The sequence below is a fragment of the Homo sapiens genome, chromosome 17, assembly GCF_000001405.40.
Source record: "Homo sapiens chromosome 17, GRCh38.p14 Primary Assembly".
NCBI lineage: Eukaryota > Metazoa > Chordata > Mammalia > Primates > Hominidae > Homo > Homo sapiens.
In genome coordinates, this window is record NC_000017.11 from 2,065,027 (window position 1) to 2,082,282 (window position 17,256).

A 17,256-nucleotide genomic window follows, 5' to 3' on the forward strand; every position below is an offset into this window, starting at 1 on the left:
TAGGGCAGTGGGGATGGAAGATCCCAAGGCGGAGGCAAAGCTGTACCTTTGCTGGCGGGCATGAAGTCCTTAGCCTTGTCTTTGCAGTAGTGGAGGCAGCAGGACAGGATGAGATCATCGTTGTTACCCTGGAGGAAGACGTGTGTGAGAAGCACCACTGGGCAGAAGGGGGCGCCATGTGGAGGAGGAGGAGGGATCCTCTGCCTCGGGGGCCCTGGGCAGGGCCACCTCCCCGATCCCTCCCATGCATGCGCTGGCCCTGCCTGGCCTGATCTGACTGTGCTACGAGTGACTTAGGGGAGAAGGAACTCCCCCACCTGGGCCTCCATGGTGGCTGGCCCTCAGCTGCCCAGGCTGATGGGCCTCCTTCAGCCCTTCCTTCCTGGAGACCTTGTTCTGGAAGCTGGCTGTGGGCTTTCCCTTCCTGCCACAGGGTCTCACCAGCTGGCCAGTGATGTCCTCACTGCGGAAGGCGATGGATTCGAGTTCATTGCCACGGCTGGTCAGGGCTCGCAGGCAAGAGTCCCGACTCTCGAATCGCTGCTCGAGGAACTCGATGGACTTGCGGGCCTTCTCTTGTACCACACGGGCGTAGCCCCCAGCCCGGTGGTCTGTCTCCTGCCCCTTGGCCAGGCCGTCCAGCTCATTGATCACTGATGAGATAGAGCCCCACAAGGTATCAGCCTCAGCAATCAGCTTTCATCCTAGGCCTCTGTCCATTCACTTTCCCAGCCAACACCTTCCCAGACCAGAATCCATCCTTCCCCCACAGGAGTCTTCCAATGAAACTAGGGCCGGAGGGGAGCTTGTGGGGGCAAGAAGTGTCTCGAGATTTCACAGGGCTCTACTCCCTTTCTGTCTCTTCTCCTGGGCCCTGCCCTCCTCTTGGGAGGAACTTAAAGGAATCTTCTGGAGCTGCTGTATTTAGAGGAAGAAATCTGGTCCCTCTATTGCATTCCTTGGTTACAGGACTCACGTGAAAGGGTCCCTCAGGAGAGTCCAGGGTATGCAGCAGCTCGAGGGAAAGGGAGGCGTCCTTCCTTAACTCCTTGGGCCCACACACACTGCAGTCCAGGAGGGGTAAAGTTCTACCCCCAGCCCCACTGGTGGAGTGCAGGGAGGTCACCATGGAGGAAGGGGCAGTCACAGCCTCATTTGCAAGGCCCTGGTATTTCTCAAGACCAGAACCTTGGCACATCTACCTTCTCTGATACTGCACGTGTGTGTGTGCGCGCACGTGTATGTCTGTGTGCGTGTATGTGTCTGTGTGCGTGTGTACATGTATGTGTGTGTGTACATGTGTGTATGTGTATGCGTGTATGTGTGTACATGTGTGTATATGTCTCTGTGTGTGTGTGTGTGTGTGCCTGTCTGCCTCCCTATGTGTCTGGGACATGGCTTCATTTTCTGGTGAAGATTCTTTCCAAAATTCCAGCCAAAAGCCTGAGGTCAAGTGGGAAATATGTGCTCCTCGGGGGCTCTGGGAGAGTTTGGGGTCTGAGGCCTCTCCTTAGCGCAGTGATTCATGGCTCAGGGAGCCGGCGTGAGCATGCTGTTCCATGGTGAGCCTGGCACTCATTGTCTGGGTATTCGGAGACACTTTCTGGAAAGGGCCCATGTGGGAATACACACACACACACACACACACACACACACACACACACACACAATGCCCATGCTTTCGGCACCCTGAGGCTGCAGTGTCCACACAGTGCATGGCTGAGGTTGGGAAGCAGTGGTAGATGGGTGTATGGTACAGCAAACAACATCAAACAGGAAAAACGGGTATTCTATCCCAAAATCTGCTTTCCTGCTTCCAAACTAAACAGGCTTCAAAGAGGAAGCTTGTTTGTGCTTCTGCACCAGGCGGGGCTTCTCCACGCTGGGGTCAGGTCTGCGGAGCACAGAGCAGGTTAAAGAGCACCAGAAACAAGAAGGGAAAGCTGGCGGCTTAACCCTTTGCTGCTCTGGGCACAGGACGTGAGTCTACCAAGGAAAGCATCAGTAAACAGGAGCCCTCCTCTTACAGCCTCTGGGAGAGTCCAGGAGCCTGCCCAGCTGAGGCAGGTCCAGAGAGGCTGGCCTGTATGGCTGTAGCACAACTGTCAGTTCCCAGCACCCTTAGGCGTCGTCTCTTTGTCCTGCATGTATCTGCTGGGTTTTCTCATGCGTTTGCTCCCTCCCCACCGAATCCGGATTTCCTTACTAAACCCTAAGCTCCTCAGGGCCAAGGGCTACAGCCTGCCTTTCACCGGATCAAGAACAAGGAGACTCAGCCCACAGCCTGGGGTACGATCAGTCCTGGTGACAAAAAACCCTGGCAGCCTGGGACGGCGTCTGAGGCACCTTACGGCTCTTAGGGGGCTCCTGAGATGTCCACAGCCTCTTTCAGTTGTACCCTTTCCTGACCATCTAGCAAAACACTTTCTTTCCCCTGAAAAGCTCCTGGGTAGGAAAGCAGAGAGACATATGACCCGGCAAGGCAGCCCGCCCCAGCGAGGAGAAGGGAAAGCCTGGGACAACGTGATGGTTCTGCTGCCCTGCCTTGGTGACAGAAACTGTTCTACTGTTGAAGAGCAGAAAGCCTTCCCTTAGGTCTAAGGGCCTGGATTTAAGAGGTTCTGGCCAGGCCACATGGGGAGGGGAAGGAAGACGGGGAGGGTGGAGGCAGGGAGGAGGGCTGCTTCGGTGCCAACATTCTCAGGTGGTGCTAACGTGTTTCCCACAACCCCCCAGGGTTCTGCAGCCTCTGCAGGGGCGGATGTTTCCTGCCCTTTGTTTCCACCCCCATCTGGCACTAAGACACTTGGGACTGGGAGGGAAGGCCCAATGGAACATCTTGGCATGGATGTCAAAGGTGGCTTGGCAGGCAGACTGCCAGTCTGGTGGCTTTTCCAGAAGACAAGGCTCTCAAACTTGCTCCAAGTAGCTGCTGAGAAGGGGATGTGCAAACGCCTGGGCCTCCCAATCATCTCCTAGACTCTCTCCCTCCACAGAGGCCATCAGCTAGATATGAGCCCAGAGCCCAGAGCCCACCCTGAGGCTGACCCACCACAGAGCTCCAAGAACTAAGGGTACCCAGACGGTCCCGTGGAGACGGCCCAGCTGGGCCTCTCTGGCTAGAGGGTGGGAAAGCAAGCTAGCTGGGTCCTGAGATGCTGACCCTGCACCAGCACCAAGGCCCAGACAGTGGTAAGGGCCCAAGTGGTAGGAATCCACAGGCATGAGCCAAGGGCTTGCTCTGGAGGGTTCCTGCTGGCCTAGCCTTAGGGTGACACTGGCCAGAAGAATGCTACCTCGAACCAACAGAGTGATCATGAAAAGCTACAAGACAATCAGACCAAAGGCATCTAACCACTTCAAAATCCTCCCAGCCTCCCTGCCAGACCACCCAGCAGCACTGCCGTTATCTGCCAGGGCTGAGTGTTTACCAATAACGGGAACCAGCTTTGCTGTTTTACTGCAAGCTTTATAAGGATAAAAACAAGGGCTGGGCTCATGCAGCCTCTGGTTGCTGGGACACAGGAGTCCATTTGCTCAAGCAGTTTAAGCCATGGATCAGCCATGAGAATGTGAACTACTTTGATTATTAAACAGTTTTCTTTGCCCCACGCGTTCCCTACTCCCCTGCAAATCCCATCTTACACACGCACAGCAGGGCTCTGCCTGCCTGGCCCCCAGGCCGTGGGGCGTGTGTGGAGGGGGCTGCTGTGCACATGCAAGGCCGCTCTGCCCTTCCCGCCTGACTCACCGATGAGGGGCACCACCAGGATGTACTTCCTGCTCTCCAGCAGCCGCGCCAGACTGGCCAGGTGGTCAATGAAGCCGTTGGTGTCTGGTACGAGGAACAAAGGTCTGATTTCGAGCTCCATCTGCCTCATCTGACTGTGGTCCTCCAGGACAGCCTATGGGGACAGAGTGGTGAATGAGCCAGACAGCGAGCAGGCAAGCAGGTGGGTGAGCCAGGGCCCTGACACTACGGTGTGTCAGCATCCTGCCCCTAGGAACCTCTTCCCCTCCACAGTAATAACCAGTCCCCGTCGGGTCTCAGGGATAGGCCCAAGGGCTGAGCATAGCACTGCAATAAAAACAGAGCTCAAGGGGCCCAGGGAATGGCATGGGTACAACCCTGCCGAGGGCTGAGAAAGGATCCTGAGGATATTCAACATAACAGGTCTCTCAAAGTAAGACTGGGACTCAAATTCAACAAGGGAGAATTAGGTTCCTTAGATATGAAAGTGGTTTCACATACATTATCTAGAAAGCCTACAGAGGAGGTACTTTTCAATCTAGACATGAAAATGCAAACAGAATCTGTTATTTTGACTTACTTCACTGTGTAGCTAAAACAAAACAAAACAAAATAAAATATACCCTGGGCAACATGCTGAAACCCCGTCTCTACAAAAAAAAAAAAAAATTAGCTGGGTGTGGTGGCACACGCCTGTGGTCCCAGCTACTTGGGAGGCTGACATGGGAGGATTGCCTGAGCTCTGGAGGCGGAGGCTGCAGCGAGCCGAGATCACACCACTGCACTCCACCCTGGGTGACAGAACGAGACCCTGTCTCAAAAAACAAAAACAACAACAACAAACAACGAACAATGAAGTTGAACTCAAAGGCTATACAAAAAAGTGATACTGACAGCTAATAATACGAAATTCTCCTGCAGCAGCAGCCGAAGTCCGTGCAATGTGATGAATTAAGACTCAACTCATGTGTCTGCAAAGAGCAACACCCAGGTCGATCACAATGGCCCACCACCTTGCCCTTGACCAGCGCAGTTTCCTAAACACGGGTCTTTTCTGTTCTACCTCTGCTCCTTTGCCACGAATCTGTACCAGCTACACTATTATTTACTCGACGTTTTTCTTTAAACTGACTTTGTCACTTTTTTTCTTAGCCTCTTCTTCAGCAACCATATCGTGGTACTAAGCAATTGACAGCCTAGTCATATGCTTACTAGTGCAAGCTAAACTGCCAAACAAAAAGTAGACAAAAGAATAAAAGCAGAAGAGTCTCCTTGGCCCCACTGTCCCACCGCCTCCTCTAGCACCTCTCACCAAGCACGTGGCCCAGCGCTTGCCTTCCCTGTGGACTTTCACATTTCTCAGGGAAGTTCCCGAGAGATGCACATTTGCAAAAGCCTGATTTTCTTCTCTGACAGCCTTACACGTGTGGCAGCGGCCCTTCGAGACCGGCTCTGGGTATGTCTGCCACTACAGAACATGGCCACTACTGCACTGCTTCCTCTTCTGGGGACCATGGCCAAGAATCGAACTGATCTGCTGGCATCTGCCCAGACAGCATGCTCCCTGAGTAGGGAGGTGGAGGGCACCCACACAAACCTGGCGGGGCCAGGAGGGCAGGTCCCAGCCCTGTCACACCCTCTCATGGCCTTCTGCCACAGAGCAACTTGCAGAGACCCAGATGCAGGCACAGGGCTGGGGAAGTGGACGTGCGTGCCAACCGAGATGGGGCCCACAGTGCTGGTCCTGGCCACCAACAGTCAGTGAGGAGGCTGCTCAGGTTTCACTGACAATGACAGTAAAACTGAAAGGGCATGCCTTCAAATGATGGGGGTGGCTTCTCTGTGACCTGCCAGGGACCTCTCCCTATGAGTAAGTTGTTGCTGCCACTGCCACCACAGCTGGTAAAGGCACAGGCTACAGAACGCTGGCAGGCATGAGAAATGCAGCTCAGGGGCCCGCTCTGCTGAAGTCTTCCTACTGATCTCACCTCATGAGAGCAAGGTGCCACTACTGCGGGCTACCTTCCCATGGGAGGCGGGGTCACTGACCCTCTACATAGGGCTGCCACCTAGAGGGTGACAGGCATTCCAACAAACCTGGCTTGGGCAGTTTGTAAGAACAGGAAATGGTCCCTGCTCAGGTTCAGTAAACCCCTCTGCCCTTTCTCCTCTTGCGGAGGAGCATCAGCACTCTCGTTCCTCATTTCTCAGGCCATGCGCTCTCCGTCTAGCTCTTCTGTTGCCAGGCATGCTCTCCTGGTACCGTGGCTCTCAAATCTGTCTTTCTGGGTGAGCAGGGACAGAACAAGCATGGCTTAGGGAGACGTGGGAGCAGTGGCAGCTGGAGTGACAGGGGCTGGGGGTCCGGCTCTGCACTGCGCCTCTGCCTCTGCCTCTGCCCCGCAAGTCCACTACCATCTCAGTTCTCCTGCCTTGAGAAACAACCGTCCAGCCTGGTCTGACTCTATCAAGGAAGTGGCTGCCATTTTTTTTTTTACCCTATGTGAACAGTCAGCTCCTAAGCCCTGGTACCATCCTACCTCTATTGCTGGCAATTAGGCAGGAGAGCCTTGAAGCCAGGTGGCTGAGGGATGCTGGGGACAAACTGAGCCTACCTGTGTGTTCTGATGGCAGGACAGAAGAAAAATCTAGAAGCGAGGTCCAGAGACGCTCTAAATTCCCCGGGTTCTTAGCTCTGGCTTGCAGCTAGAAAGGTGAATAGGCCGCAGCCTTTCAGAGGGGGCTTCCCTGGGTGTGGGGTGGGGCCAAGCCCCGTGAGGGTGGTCAGAGCTGTGCTGCCATCATCCGGTCCCAGGGACGCCCGCAGACAACTTCCCTTAACCTGGCTCTGCCCAGTGAGTCACCAAACAACTGCTTCCTGTTCCCCGCATGCCCTCATGGAGTCTCAGGAGATGAGATGAAGCTGCTCCCTTTTCTCCTGGGGTACCGGTGGGCCTCTGGGCGGGGGGGGTCACACCTGGGTCACAAGACTGGCTCAGTCCCCTTAAAAAGAGTGGCAGGCGGAGGAGGGCTTCGGAGTCCACAGGCACCCTTCTACGGGTGTCTGCATTTCCGGCCCTTTCTGAGTGGCGCTGTGTGTGTGTGTGTGTTTAGCATCTGCCCTCCCAACTTTTCCAGATTTTACCCGTCAGATTCCTGGCAGCTGTGCACGGCGCCTGTGCCGGCCGTCACGTCCCATTCCGATCTCTGGGTCGCACGGTAAGAGGAGGACACAGGATGCGCAGGGAGTGAAAAAGTGATGTCGGTGGGGAGAGTGCCAAGTCCCCACTCGCAGCCATGGGACACTTGGGGAGCAGGGGAAGCATGCCGCTGCAGAGTTCAGAGGCCGGTAGTGAGGTTTATTTTTGTTTGTATGAGTAAAAAGCTGCAGAAGCCTCTGGTGGGGGTGAGGGGGGTGCAACCGGAATGCTGTGGTTCAGACAGACTGGCCCTGGCATGGAGTCAAGCGTGCTGACCCGGAAGGAGAGTTCCACAGGAACCTTCTAACAGCAGCTGAGGTTGGGCCACAGTGATCCCTGGATAGTGCCCTTGGAACCCAAGCAACACACGGACACTCTGAATCAGGTTGGTAGCAATAAGGACCCAAGTTGGCATAAAATGTGGAAGAAAAAAATAATTCTGTTTCTGGAAGGTGCTAAGTAACTAACTTTCTCTAAGGTATGGGAGTTTCCTGGAGCAAGCTGGCAGAGAACTGGGAAAGAGATCATATACAATAATACCTAAGGAGGAAGCTAACAGGCTTGGGTCTCCAGGAAAAACTTTTGCAGGTTAAGTTCCTTCTCTACGGTGGAGATGATCTTATGATGCTTACCGCTGCAAGCTGAGACACTGAACATTACAAGTAACAGCAATTCAATGAGCTGACACAGGAGGTGTGGCACTTGGAGAACCTGGATCATGAAGCAGAGCAAGACCAGGAGAGGGCCTTCTGAGGTCTTCCTTCTGCTTAGGGGCTCCCATAGGGAGTGCGGCTGCTTCCTTCCCTCTACAGGGTGAAGAATCATTCATCCCTGAGCCTCTCTGGCCAGAGCAATGTCTTCAACAGAAATTAGAAGCTTTGTAACACAGGAAATTTCCACATTCACCTTATATATGAAAGTACCTAGCAAAGTGCCTGACACATATTAGTAACTCAATAAATGCCAGCTTCCTTTCTTCCTTCCTAACTCTATTTTTTATTTTCTACATATCCAGAGCATAAATATCAGGGGGAAACCACCAGGAAATAGAACTGGGGATGAGGAGGGGTGGAGCAGAGGACTACTGATGTGTTTTTTTTGTTTTGTTTTGTTTTGTTTTGTTTGAGACGGAGTCTTGCTCTGATGCCTATGCTGGAGTGTAGTGGCGTGATCTCGGCTCACTGCAATCTCTGCCTCTCAGATTCAAGCGATTCTCCTGCCTCAGCCTCCCAAGTAGCTGGGATTACAAGCGTGAGCCAACACGCCCGGCTAATTTTTGTATTTTTAGTAGAGATGGGGTTTCACCATGTTGGCCACACTGGTCTCAAACTCCCGACCTCAGGTGATCCGCCCGCCTCGGTCCCCCAAAGTGCTGGGATTACAGGCGTAAGCCACTGTGCCCAGCGTTTTTTTGTTTTGTTTTGTTTTGTTTTAAAGAGACACGAGTCTCAGACCAGGCACGGTGGCTCACGCCTATAATCCCAGCACTTTGGGAGGCCAAGGCGGGTGGATCATGAGGTCAGGAGTTCGAGACCAGCCTGGCCAACATCGCGGAACCCCGTCTCTACTAAAAATACAAAAATTAGCTGGACGTGGTGGCTCATGCCTGTAATCCCAGCTACTCGGGAGGCTGAGGCAGGAGAATTGCTTGAACCCAGGCAGCAGAGGTTGCTGTGAGCCGAGATGGTGCCACTGCACTCCAGCCTGGGCAACAGAGCGAGACTCCGTCTCAAAAAAAAAAAAAAAAAAAAAGAGACAGAGTCTCATCCAAGCCTGACCAACATGGTGAAACCCCATCTCTACTAAAAATATAAAAATTAGCCAGGCGTGGTGGCACGTGCTTGTAATCCCAGCACTTTGGGAGGCAGAGGTAGGCGGATCACTTGAGGTCAGGAGTTTGAGACCAGCATGGACAATATAGTAAAACCCCATCTCTACTAAAACTACAAAAATCAGCCGGGGATGGTGGCACATGCCTGTAGTCCCAGCTACTCGGGAGGCTGAGGCAGGAGAATCGCTTAAACCCGGGAGGCAGCGGTTACAGTGAGCCGAGACCATGCCACTGCACTCCATCCAGCCTGGGTGATAAGAGCAAAACTCCATCTCAAAAAAAGAGAGAGAGAGAGTCTAACTCTGTCACTCAGGCTGGAGTGCAGTGGTGCGATCACAGGTCACTGTAGCCTGAAACTCCCAGGCTCAAGTGATCCTCCCGCCTCAGCCTCCTGAGTAGCTGGGACTACAGGTGTGTGCCACCATGCCCGCGCTTCTGATTTCTATGAAAAGACTTATTGTATATATGTATCTTAACTATGTGGATGTACATGAAAAACTGGAAATAAAATAAAAATAGGAACAGTGGGTGAGATAAGCACTGGCTAACTGTTCATCCTGGGCCAGCAGAAGCCAACGAGGGCAGATACTGAGGGTGCTAGAAAAGGCAGGCAGAGCCACCAGCAGCATCCCCTGGGAGCAGGAGGAGGAGCATCTTCATTTGGGGTACACTGCAAATGAAAAACTGCTGCTTAGAACTCCTTTTCTGGATGTCCAAATGTACCACAGAGCTTAATATATTCTTGCACTCTTTTTAAAAGTGATAACTATGGCAATTTGTTTGCTATTTCTTACTGTTTTAGGAGGACTCATCTTATTTTCAAACTAGACTGTCAAGTGCTCAAGGAGAACTGCCTACTTTTCTTGCAGTTTCCATTGTCATACCTCCCATACCGCCTGTTGTATCATAGGACTTCGGGGGACAGTGGGCTCAGTCACTGGCTCTCAGAGCTGAAGGGCACTTAAAGATAATCGGATTGAATTTTAACTGATAACTTGATCTAAAAAGCCAAAGAAGCAGGCAGGCCCTTTCCTGATGGAGAGGGAGGGGCAGGGCTAAGCATGACACCTTTGAGCTTGCTCTGAGCAGCAGCCTGAGGGCGTTTCAGACAGTGGCCTGGCCACTCTGTGGGAAGCCAGGCCCCCAGTGGATGGTGCTGGAGCAAAAGCTGGGGCCCAGCACTCAGGTTTTGGGGAGGCTGGAGCGGGTCTGGGTGGGAAGGGCGGATGCCCGCTCCACAGGCTGATGTGCTTTCCTGCCTTGACGTGAACGTGCCCCCGGCCTGGTGCTGTGCTGGCTCCCACCCTGTCTCCGACAGCCAGGAGCCAGGCCTGAGTGTCTGCCTTCCGCCAGCTTCCATACAGGTGTGGGGGGCTCTGTGTATACCCCATTGTTCCACAACAGCCCCCCCTAGCTGGGTGGCAGTATGAATGGACGGCAGCTAAATTTAGAGTGGAACTCCTGGGGCCACCACAAAGGAGGGACTACATCTTCAGGAGGGCGGGTGGGCGGGAAAGGGACAGGGGAGAGAAGCTATTTTGAGAACACATGTCATTGCTGGCCACAGAGCAAGACTGTGGCCATAATGCTGAGGGAAACAATAGATGTGGCCAGAGGAAGAGCCTGTTATGTTTCAGGTGGGATGTTTGCAACTGCTCAGGAAACCTGACCCCGCCCGACAGCAGCACAAATCACAGCAAAGCCTCAGAGAGGCAGTGAGGAAGCGGGGGATTCACAGGGCCAGGGCCAGCATGAGGTGCCAAGAGGCCACGCCTCATGCCTGGAGGAGCATTTTCAGTGACTGCTTTGCCCTGGTGGTTTGGTTAGGAATCAAACACTTCTGACCAACTTCCCAAACCATGTACCCTGCCCTGGTCTCTGAACAACTCCAAATGGCAATGGGAACAAAAAGAACTCAGGAGAAAAGCAGCAAGGTGGGCAGAACCCACAGGAGGAGCTGTCTCAGGCAACAAGACAGAGCGTGGGCTGAGCCGGAGAGTGTGGCCTCAAAGCCCTGGGTGGGCGGACTTGGCGCCCCCAGCATCCAGGGGCCTGCCTGGGCGCTGCAGCTCCAGCTGCACAGGCTCTGAGAGCTCCCCACACCCCTTTTCTGACCTCCAGTCGGCCCCACTCACCAGCCTCTGTGCAACGCCGGAAGCAGGGAGGGACAGGCTGCAGAGGGAGACCAGGCCTCACCTCCCCCATGCTCACAGAAGAGCTTAGGCGGCCCAGGGGTCTAGGTAAGAGCAGGGAAGTGGGGGTGTGGTTACAGCCCCAGATCTCACTTGGACTTTATAGCTATCCTGGGGGCCAGGAGGATTTTTTTCAACCCCATCTTCACATCCCCTTCCCCAAACATGCGTGGTTCCTGTTTTGCCACATCTGTGAGAGGCGCTGGGAACGGGGACTTGCCTTACACCTCTCGGTTAACACCCTGGAGACTGATGGAGTTCAGAGCAGGGTAATTTACAGCCCATCCCTCCAATCTTAATTCACTCGATGCTCCTTTCTTCCTTATTGTATTAGTGTGACCCAGGTACCTGCCAACAATAATGGCCTCTCCAGCTAGGAGCCTCTCCCCAACTCCCAGGACAATTTATACCTTTTCCTTGGATTTTCCCCCCTTAAATTAAACAAAAAGAGGAAAAATGAGAAAAGGTTAGCATGGGTTTGGAGCACTGAAGCCCCCGTGGTTCTGGGCAGGAAGCCAATGGCCTGAGGGCACACATGTGTGTGCTCTCCCAGAAGGGCCTTCACCGGCCCTGTTTTACAGCCACCTCGGCACAGACTCCAGGGTTCACGCATATGGCCAGACAGATGTGTCTGGCTTACGTTCAAGGCTGGAAAATGAAGAATTATGGAAGTGAAGGGCCCCGGGCATTAAAGCGGGGTGGGGAAGGGAAGGGGGGAATTTTTCCTCTGCTGAGAAATCCTCTTGTGGCTGTGAGGCTGGAGGAAGGAGGCTGACAGGAGGCAGGGCCGCCAGCTTGGTGCATGTGGGGCCTGTTCTTAAAGGGGCCACAGCAACCCCAACTCCAGCTGGCCCGCAGCAGGCCTTCCATGCTTGGGCCTAAGCAGCTTCCTCAGAAGGAGCTGATCAGGAGAACAGGCAGCCTGGACAGGGCCCACCAGGCGCACGGGAAGTCAAGCGTTGGAGGAGACCTCCAATTCTGAAGGTGCTGCTGGTCGCTGGAGAGGCAAAGCTAAACACCAAGCTCCAGAAGCGGATGGATCCTGGCAGCATGTGCTCCCTCGGCATCCTGGACTTGCGTTTTGTACGGACGCTCATTCACACTTCAAATCACTTGTCAAGGACTCTACCACACTGTACCACTGTACACTCTGGAATGTGATTAGTTCTGTGTCCCCCAGACACTGGCACAGTAAATGCTCAATGCCGCTTGCTAAACTGAGCTGAAGACATGCCTCCCGATTCCAAGGAGTGCACAGACAATGTGGGAAACAAGTCCAGAAATAACTGGAACATGAGACATGATGGCAGGTCCACAAATGAAGCCTGAAGAGTGTCACAGGAACGCTAAGCAGAGGCAGACGGATTCCTCCTGGGGGAGACCAGGGGGGGCTTCACTGGGGAAGTGGAGTTTCATCTGGGGATTGAAGGAGGAATAGAATTTCGACAGGTAACAAGACATATGGAGCAGAAAAAGGGCACTCTGCTTTGAGGGACAGCATGAACAAAAACCCGAGTGGAAAAAGGCAGAGCATGCCTAGGGAGTGGAAAGGAAGGTGGGTGTCACTGTCCAGGCAGGAGGGCCTTAGTGTCTGCACAGGCATTTTACGTGCACTGTGGTTCATTCCGAGGCCTCACAGCAGCTCTAATATTGGTGCTTTTACCACTTTCACTAAAAAAGTGTTTAAGAGACGGGGTTTTGCTATGTTGCAGTGGTTATTCACGGGCATGATCACTGCACACCATAGCCTTGTACTCCTGGGCTCAAGCTATCATCCAGCCTCAGCCTCCTGAGTAGTTGGAACCATAGGCACGTGCCCACTGTGTCTGGCATTACTTTCATTATAAAGATGAGGAAACAGGCTCAGAAAAGTTAAATAATCTGCCCAATGTCATATAACTAGTAAGGGTTCATGAGGGATGGGGTAGTGGGAGAAGAGGCTGGAAAAACAGACTGGGAACAGATCAAAAAGCCTTAAATGCCAATAATAGGGAATTAAGACTTTTTTTTACTAGCCAAGCAAAGGCCTGATGATTTCTGAGCAGGGGAGTGGCTCTTTCAGGAAGAGAATGATGGAGGCAGTGCAGTGAATAGGAGCCTGGTGGGCAGGAGCCTGGTATGCTACAAACTCCAGGAGGTGCCACTTACAGAAACAAGGCAAATGGCACCTTCTGGGGCTGTGCAATGCAGGGGCCTTGACTGCTACACTCTAAGCAACTACTTGACCTAGAATAGTAGTAGTGGCAATGGAAACAGAGAGGAGAAGAGGGAATAAATGTGTGAATAAATAGTATTTAATATGAAATTAGATACTAGGGGTTAAAAGCCAGAGTGGAATTTAAGATGATGCTCTAGTTGCTACTATTATTGTCACTGAATACTTTTTTTTTTTTTTTGAGACAGAGTCTCGCCCAGGGCTAAAGTCTAATGGCTCGATCTCGGCTCACTGCAACCTCCACCTTCTGGGTTGAAGTGATTCTCCTGCCTCAGCCTCCTGAGTAGCTGGGATTACAGGCACCCGCCACAACACTCAGCTAGTTTTTGTATTTTTAGTAGAGATGAGGTTTCATCATGTTGGCCAGGCTGGTCTTGAACTCCTGACCTCAAGTGATCTGCCAGCCTCGGCTGCCCAAAGTGCTGGGATTACAGGCATAAGCCACTGCGCCCAGCCACTGAATACATATCTGCTGAGCACTAACTCAGCTTGCTGAGACTAAGGAGTAAAAGGAAGGATGGAGGAGACCAAAAAAAGAATGGTGGTGAGGAAGCCCAGGAGGGTGGTCTGGCGAACAGGGAGAAGACAAGGGGTCATTCATCGATGCTGAAGGGAAGCTGAAGGAAGGTGGCTTTAGGGCCCAAAGACAAAGGGAGGTCAACTATGACACAGACTGAAATTTGATAAAGATAGGTCATTGGTGATTGGTCAACTATGACACAGACTAAGGTTTGATGAAGATAGGTCATCGGTGATTTTTCTTTTTAAGATGGAGTCTTGCTCTGTTGCCCAGGCTGGGGTGCAGTGGCGCAATCTTGGCTCACTGTAACCTCCGCCTCCTGGGTTCAAGAGATTCTCCTGCCTCAGCCTCCCGAGTAGCTGGGACTACAGGCACCCGCCACCACACCCGGCTCACTTTTGTATTTTTAGTAGAGACAGGGTTTCACCATGTTGGCCAGGCTGGTCTCGAACTCCTGATCTCAAATGATCCACCCACCGTGGCCTCCCAAAGTGTTGGCATTATAGGCGTGAGCCACCGTGCCTGGCCATATTGGTGACTTTTGACGCAACAGTTTCCATAACTGCTGGGTTGAGAGTCAAGAAATAACGGTAGAAACAGAATTTCTGGGAAAACAGATGGTAAGGAAGAGCAAGAAAAGAAGCATAAGGGCACTTCGGGAGGCCGTGGCGGGCAGATCACGAAGTCAAGAGATTGAGACCATCCTGGCTAACATGGTGAAACCTGGTCTCTACGAAAAATACAAAAAAAATTAGCTGGGCGTGGTGGTGCATGCCTGTAATCCCAGCTACTTGGGAGGCTGAGGCAGGAGAATCACTTGAACCTGGGAGGTGGAGGTTGCAGTGAGCTGAGATCACGACAGCGAGACTCCATCTCAAAAAAAAAAAAGTAAAAGAAGCATGAGGATAAAGCTGTTTTGAGGATCATGCACAAGTTTACATGTAGACCCACAGCAGGGCTGGGGAGGCAGCCACATGACAATGGATGATGCTGGTAGAGGTATTACACACTGATTCCAATGGTAGCAGGGACGTGAATCTGTCTAAAGAATGATGGAGGCTGGGCGCAGTGGCTCACGCCTGTAATCCCAGCACTTTGGGAGGCCAAGGCGGGCAGATCACCTGAGGTCAGGAGTTTGAGACCAGCCTGGCCAACATGGTGAAACCCCATTTCTACTAAAAATACAGAAATTAGCTGGGTATGGTGGCAGGCGCCTGTAATCCCAGCTACTTGGGAGGCTGAGACAGGAGAATCGTTTCAACCCGGGAGGCAGAGGTTGCAGTGAGCTGAGATTGCGCCACTACACTCCAGCCTGGGCAACAGGGCAAGACTCCATCTCAAAACAAAACAAAACAAAACAAAACAAAACAAAACAAAACAAAACAAAAGAATGATGGATCTTGGCCAGTGTGACGGCTCATGCCTGTAATCCCAGCACTTTGGAAGGCAGAGGCGGGCAGATCACCTGAGGTCAGGAGTTCAAGACTGGCCTGGCACACACAGCAAAACCCTGTCTTTACTAAAAATACAAAATTAGCTGGGCATGGTGGCAGGCATCTGTAATTCCAGCTACTCTGGAGGCTGAGGCAAGAGAATCGCTGGAACCCGGGAGGTGGAGGTTGGAGTGAGCTGAGATCATGCCACTGGACTCCAGCCTGGGCAACACAGCGAGACTCTGTCTCAAAACAAAAACAAAAACAAACAAACAAAAAAAAGATGGCTCTCGATTGGTATTTATTCCTCTTCCCTGGCCAGGGTGATTAGACAAATATCAGACAAAGGTGGCCGTTCATGGAGCACATACTAAGTGCCATGCACTATGCTAAGTGCTTTACATACACTGTCTCGTGTAGGCCTCACAGTGACTCTGAGAGATAGGTGCTATTAGCACTTTTTTCTTTTTTCTTTTTTTTTTTTTGAGATGGAGTCTCACCCTGTAGCCCAGGCTGGAGTGCAATGGTGCAAGATTGGCTCACTGCAACCTCCGCCTCCCGGGTTCAAGCGATTCTCTTGCCTCAGCCTCCTGAGTAGCTGGGATTACAGGTGTGCACCACCATGCCCAGCTAATTTTTTGTATTTTTAGTAGAGACAGGGTTTCACCATGTTAGCCAGGATGGTCTCAATCTCCTGACCTCATGATCCGCCCGCCTCAGCCTCCCAAAGTGCTGGGATGACAGGCGTGAGCCACCGCGCCCGGCCAGCACTTTCATTTAACAGATGAGGAAACAGGCTCTGAGAAGCTGAATGATTTGCCCCATGTTACAAAGCTATTTAGGTGGCAGGGCCTAGACTGTCACTGGGTCTGCCTGATCACATGCATCAAACCCTATGCCAAAGGACAGGGTTGGAAATGGGCATCCTTAAAGAAGCGGAGTGGGTGGCTTGATGCTTCCCTATGCACACGGTTCACCTTTAAACGGGGAGCAGGACTGCCTCTTCCCTGTCTGCCCCGAGCCCTAGAGGACAGCAAACGGCCTCACAGCACAAGGGAACAGACCTAGAAGGCCAGGAAGAAACACTTGCTGGGGGTGAAGGCACAGGCCCGTGAGAGGGCTGATGGGGGTCAAAGTCCCTGTGTGGAGATTAAGTAGTTTGTCTCTGCAAGGGTGTAGGGAGTATCTTGTCCAGAGGAGTCTTCCATTTCATTGGGAATCCAGGCAAGCAGACTGTGGCCATGCCATCCTCTCCCTGGGAACAGGCGTTCTGAAGTAAGAATCCACAGCCTCTCCAGGGATATCTGGATAAGGCTCAGGGAAACTCTGAAACCCCTCACATTGTGTGAAAGATCATGTATGTGTGGTGTGCATTTGGAGATTCTCACTGGGGAAGCAGCTTTTCTCAGAGTCTCTGAGAAGACCGTACCCCTGCCTTGGAGCCCAGGATGAGGGAGACTCTAGGCACCAAACCTGCTACCAGAATTTAGTGGTAGAGTGAAAAACGGGTAGAGCTAGAGAGAACACTGCAGGACTGACTCACTCTTAGTGTCCTGCTCAGCTCTGCTCTCTGCCCACATCCTCTCATGCCCTAGACAGCAACCCCCATAGTGGGAACCACGCTCCCCAGGCCGACTTCACCTGGATCTTTTCCTGGCGACGCTGCTGCTCAGCTATCTTCCTGGCCAGAGCCAGCTTCTTGGCCCGAAGCTCCCTGATGTCATCCTCGCCTCCGCTGCCTTCAGCCTCTGAATCTTCCTCAAAGTCTTCAATCACCACATCCTCCTCCTTTGGGTGGTGGAGCCGACCAGGACAAAGAGGAGACAGTTAGCTGGGCCCATGGCTCTTACTGAACCCAACATTGCCCTTGTGGCCCCTCACCCACGCAGACTGGGACCATCCCTTGCAAAGGGTCCCCTGGTGTGTGCTTCCCTCTACTCAGGCAAAGGGAGGTTGACAAAAGCTGTCACTCTTCCCCCGGAGCTGCTCTCTTTTATACTCTGGGGCTTTTCCCTCAGAGAGTTACACCATAAGTCACTCGCAATCACACATATATACCTGCGTGCTTTACTCACACTCTGTGTTCTTCCTGGTACACACTCACAAAGTCAAAC

At 52.6% G+C, this 17,256-nt stretch overlaps 1 protein-coding gene and 1 long non-coding RNA gene across 13 annotated transcripts in view, besides 8 other annotated features; one reads left to right on the forward strand and one right to left on the reverse strand.

Moving 5' to 3' along the window:
• Positions 1-17,256, reverse strand: part of SMG6 (SMG6 nonsense mediated mRNA decay factor) — a 243,947-nt gene that overhangs the window by 5,188 nt on the left and 221,503 nt on the right. For all 12 annotated transcript variants that reach the window (XM_011523769.3, XM_047435696.1, XM_005256569.5 and 9 more), the window contains 4 exons: positions 16,784-16,930; positions 3,752-3,905; positions 442-653; positions 47-128 (listed from right to left, as the gene is read on the reverse strand). In XM_011523769.3, coding sequence (XP_011522071.1) covers positions 47-128; positions 442-653; positions 3,752-3,905; positions 16,784-16,930 — 595 coding nt within the window. The remainder of the gene's footprint in view (positions 1-46; positions 129-441; positions 654-3,751; positions 3,906-16,783; positions 16,931-17,256) is intronic.
• Positions 85-838: an enhancer, noted in NCBI's record as "H3K4me1 hESC enhancer chr17:1968405-1969158 (GRCh37/hg19 assembly coordinates)". NCBI's record gives its function as "activates a minimal SCP1, AML or CMV promoter by ChIP-STARR-seq in naive H9 embryonic stem cells {active_cell/tissue: H9 hESC(naive)}" and the evidence as "EXISTENCE:reporter gene assay evidence [ECO:0000049][PMID:30033119]".
• Positions 125-287: a silencer, noted in NCBI's record as "fragment chr17:1968445-1968607 (GRCh37/hg19 assembly coordinates)". NCBI's record gives its function as "represses an EF-1alpha promoter that drives an FKBP-Casp9 reporter gene in an ReSE screen in HepG2 liver carcinoma cells {active_cell/tissue: HepG2}" and the evidence as "EXISTENCE:reporter gene assay evidence [ECO:0000049][PMID:32094911]".
• Positions 5,203-5,422: an enhancer, noted in NCBI's record as "active region_11465". NCBI's record gives its function as "activates an Ori minimal core promoter by ATAC-STARR-seq in GM12878 lymphoblastoid cells {active_cell/tissue: GM12878}" and the evidence as "EXISTENCE:reporter gene assay evidence [ECO:0000049][PMID:35858748]".
• Positions 5,743-5,802: an enhancer, noted in NCBI's record as "active region_11466". NCBI's record gives its function as "activates an Ori minimal core promoter by ATAC-STARR-seq in GM12878 lymphoblastoid cells {active_cell/tissue: GM12878}" and the evidence as "EXISTENCE:reporter gene assay evidence [ECO:0000049][PMID:35858748]".
• Positions 6,173-7,372: an enhancer, noted in NCBI's record as "CDK7 strongly-dependent group 2 enhancer chr17:1974493-1975692 (GRCh37/hg19 assembly coordinates)". NCBI's record gives its function as "activates an origin of replication core promoter dependent on BRD2, BRD4, P300/CBP, MED14 and CDK7 cofactors, with strong dependence on CDK7, by STARR-seq in HCT116 cells {active_cell/tissue: HCT116}" and the evidence as "EXISTENCE:reporter gene assay evidence [ECO:0000049][PMID:35650434]".
• On the forward strand, positions 6,570-7,938 carry LOC107984988 (uncharacterized). The gene is made up of 2 exons (XR_001752757.2): positions 6,570-6,694; positions 6,890-7,938. It is a non-coding gene; the product is annotated as an uncharacterized LOC107984988 (long non-coding RNA).
• Positions 10,189-10,878: an enhancer, noted in NCBI's record as "H3K4me1 hESC enhancer chr17:1978509-1979198 (GRCh37/hg19 assembly coordinates)". NCBI's record gives its function as "activates a minimal SCP1, AML or CMV promoter by ChIP-STARR-seq in primed H9 embryonic stem cells {active_cell/tissue: H9 hESC(primed)}" and the evidence as "EXISTENCE:reporter gene assay evidence [ECO:0000049][PMID:30033119]".
• Positions 10,655-10,734: an enhancer, noted in NCBI's record as "active region_11467". NCBI's record gives its function as "activates an Ori minimal core promoter by ATAC-STARR-seq in GM12878 lymphoblastoid cells {active_cell/tissue: GM12878}" and the evidence as "EXISTENCE:reporter gene assay evidence [ECO:0000049][PMID:35858748]".
• Positions 10,879-11,569: an enhancer, noted in NCBI's record as "H3K4me1 hESC enhancer chr17:1979199-1979889 (GRCh37/hg19 assembly coordinates)". NCBI's record gives its function as "activates a minimal SCP1, AML or CMV promoter by ChIP-STARR-seq in primed H9 embryonic stem cells {active_cell/tissue: H9 hESC(primed)}" and the evidence as "EXISTENCE:reporter gene assay evidence [ECO:0000049][PMID:30033119]".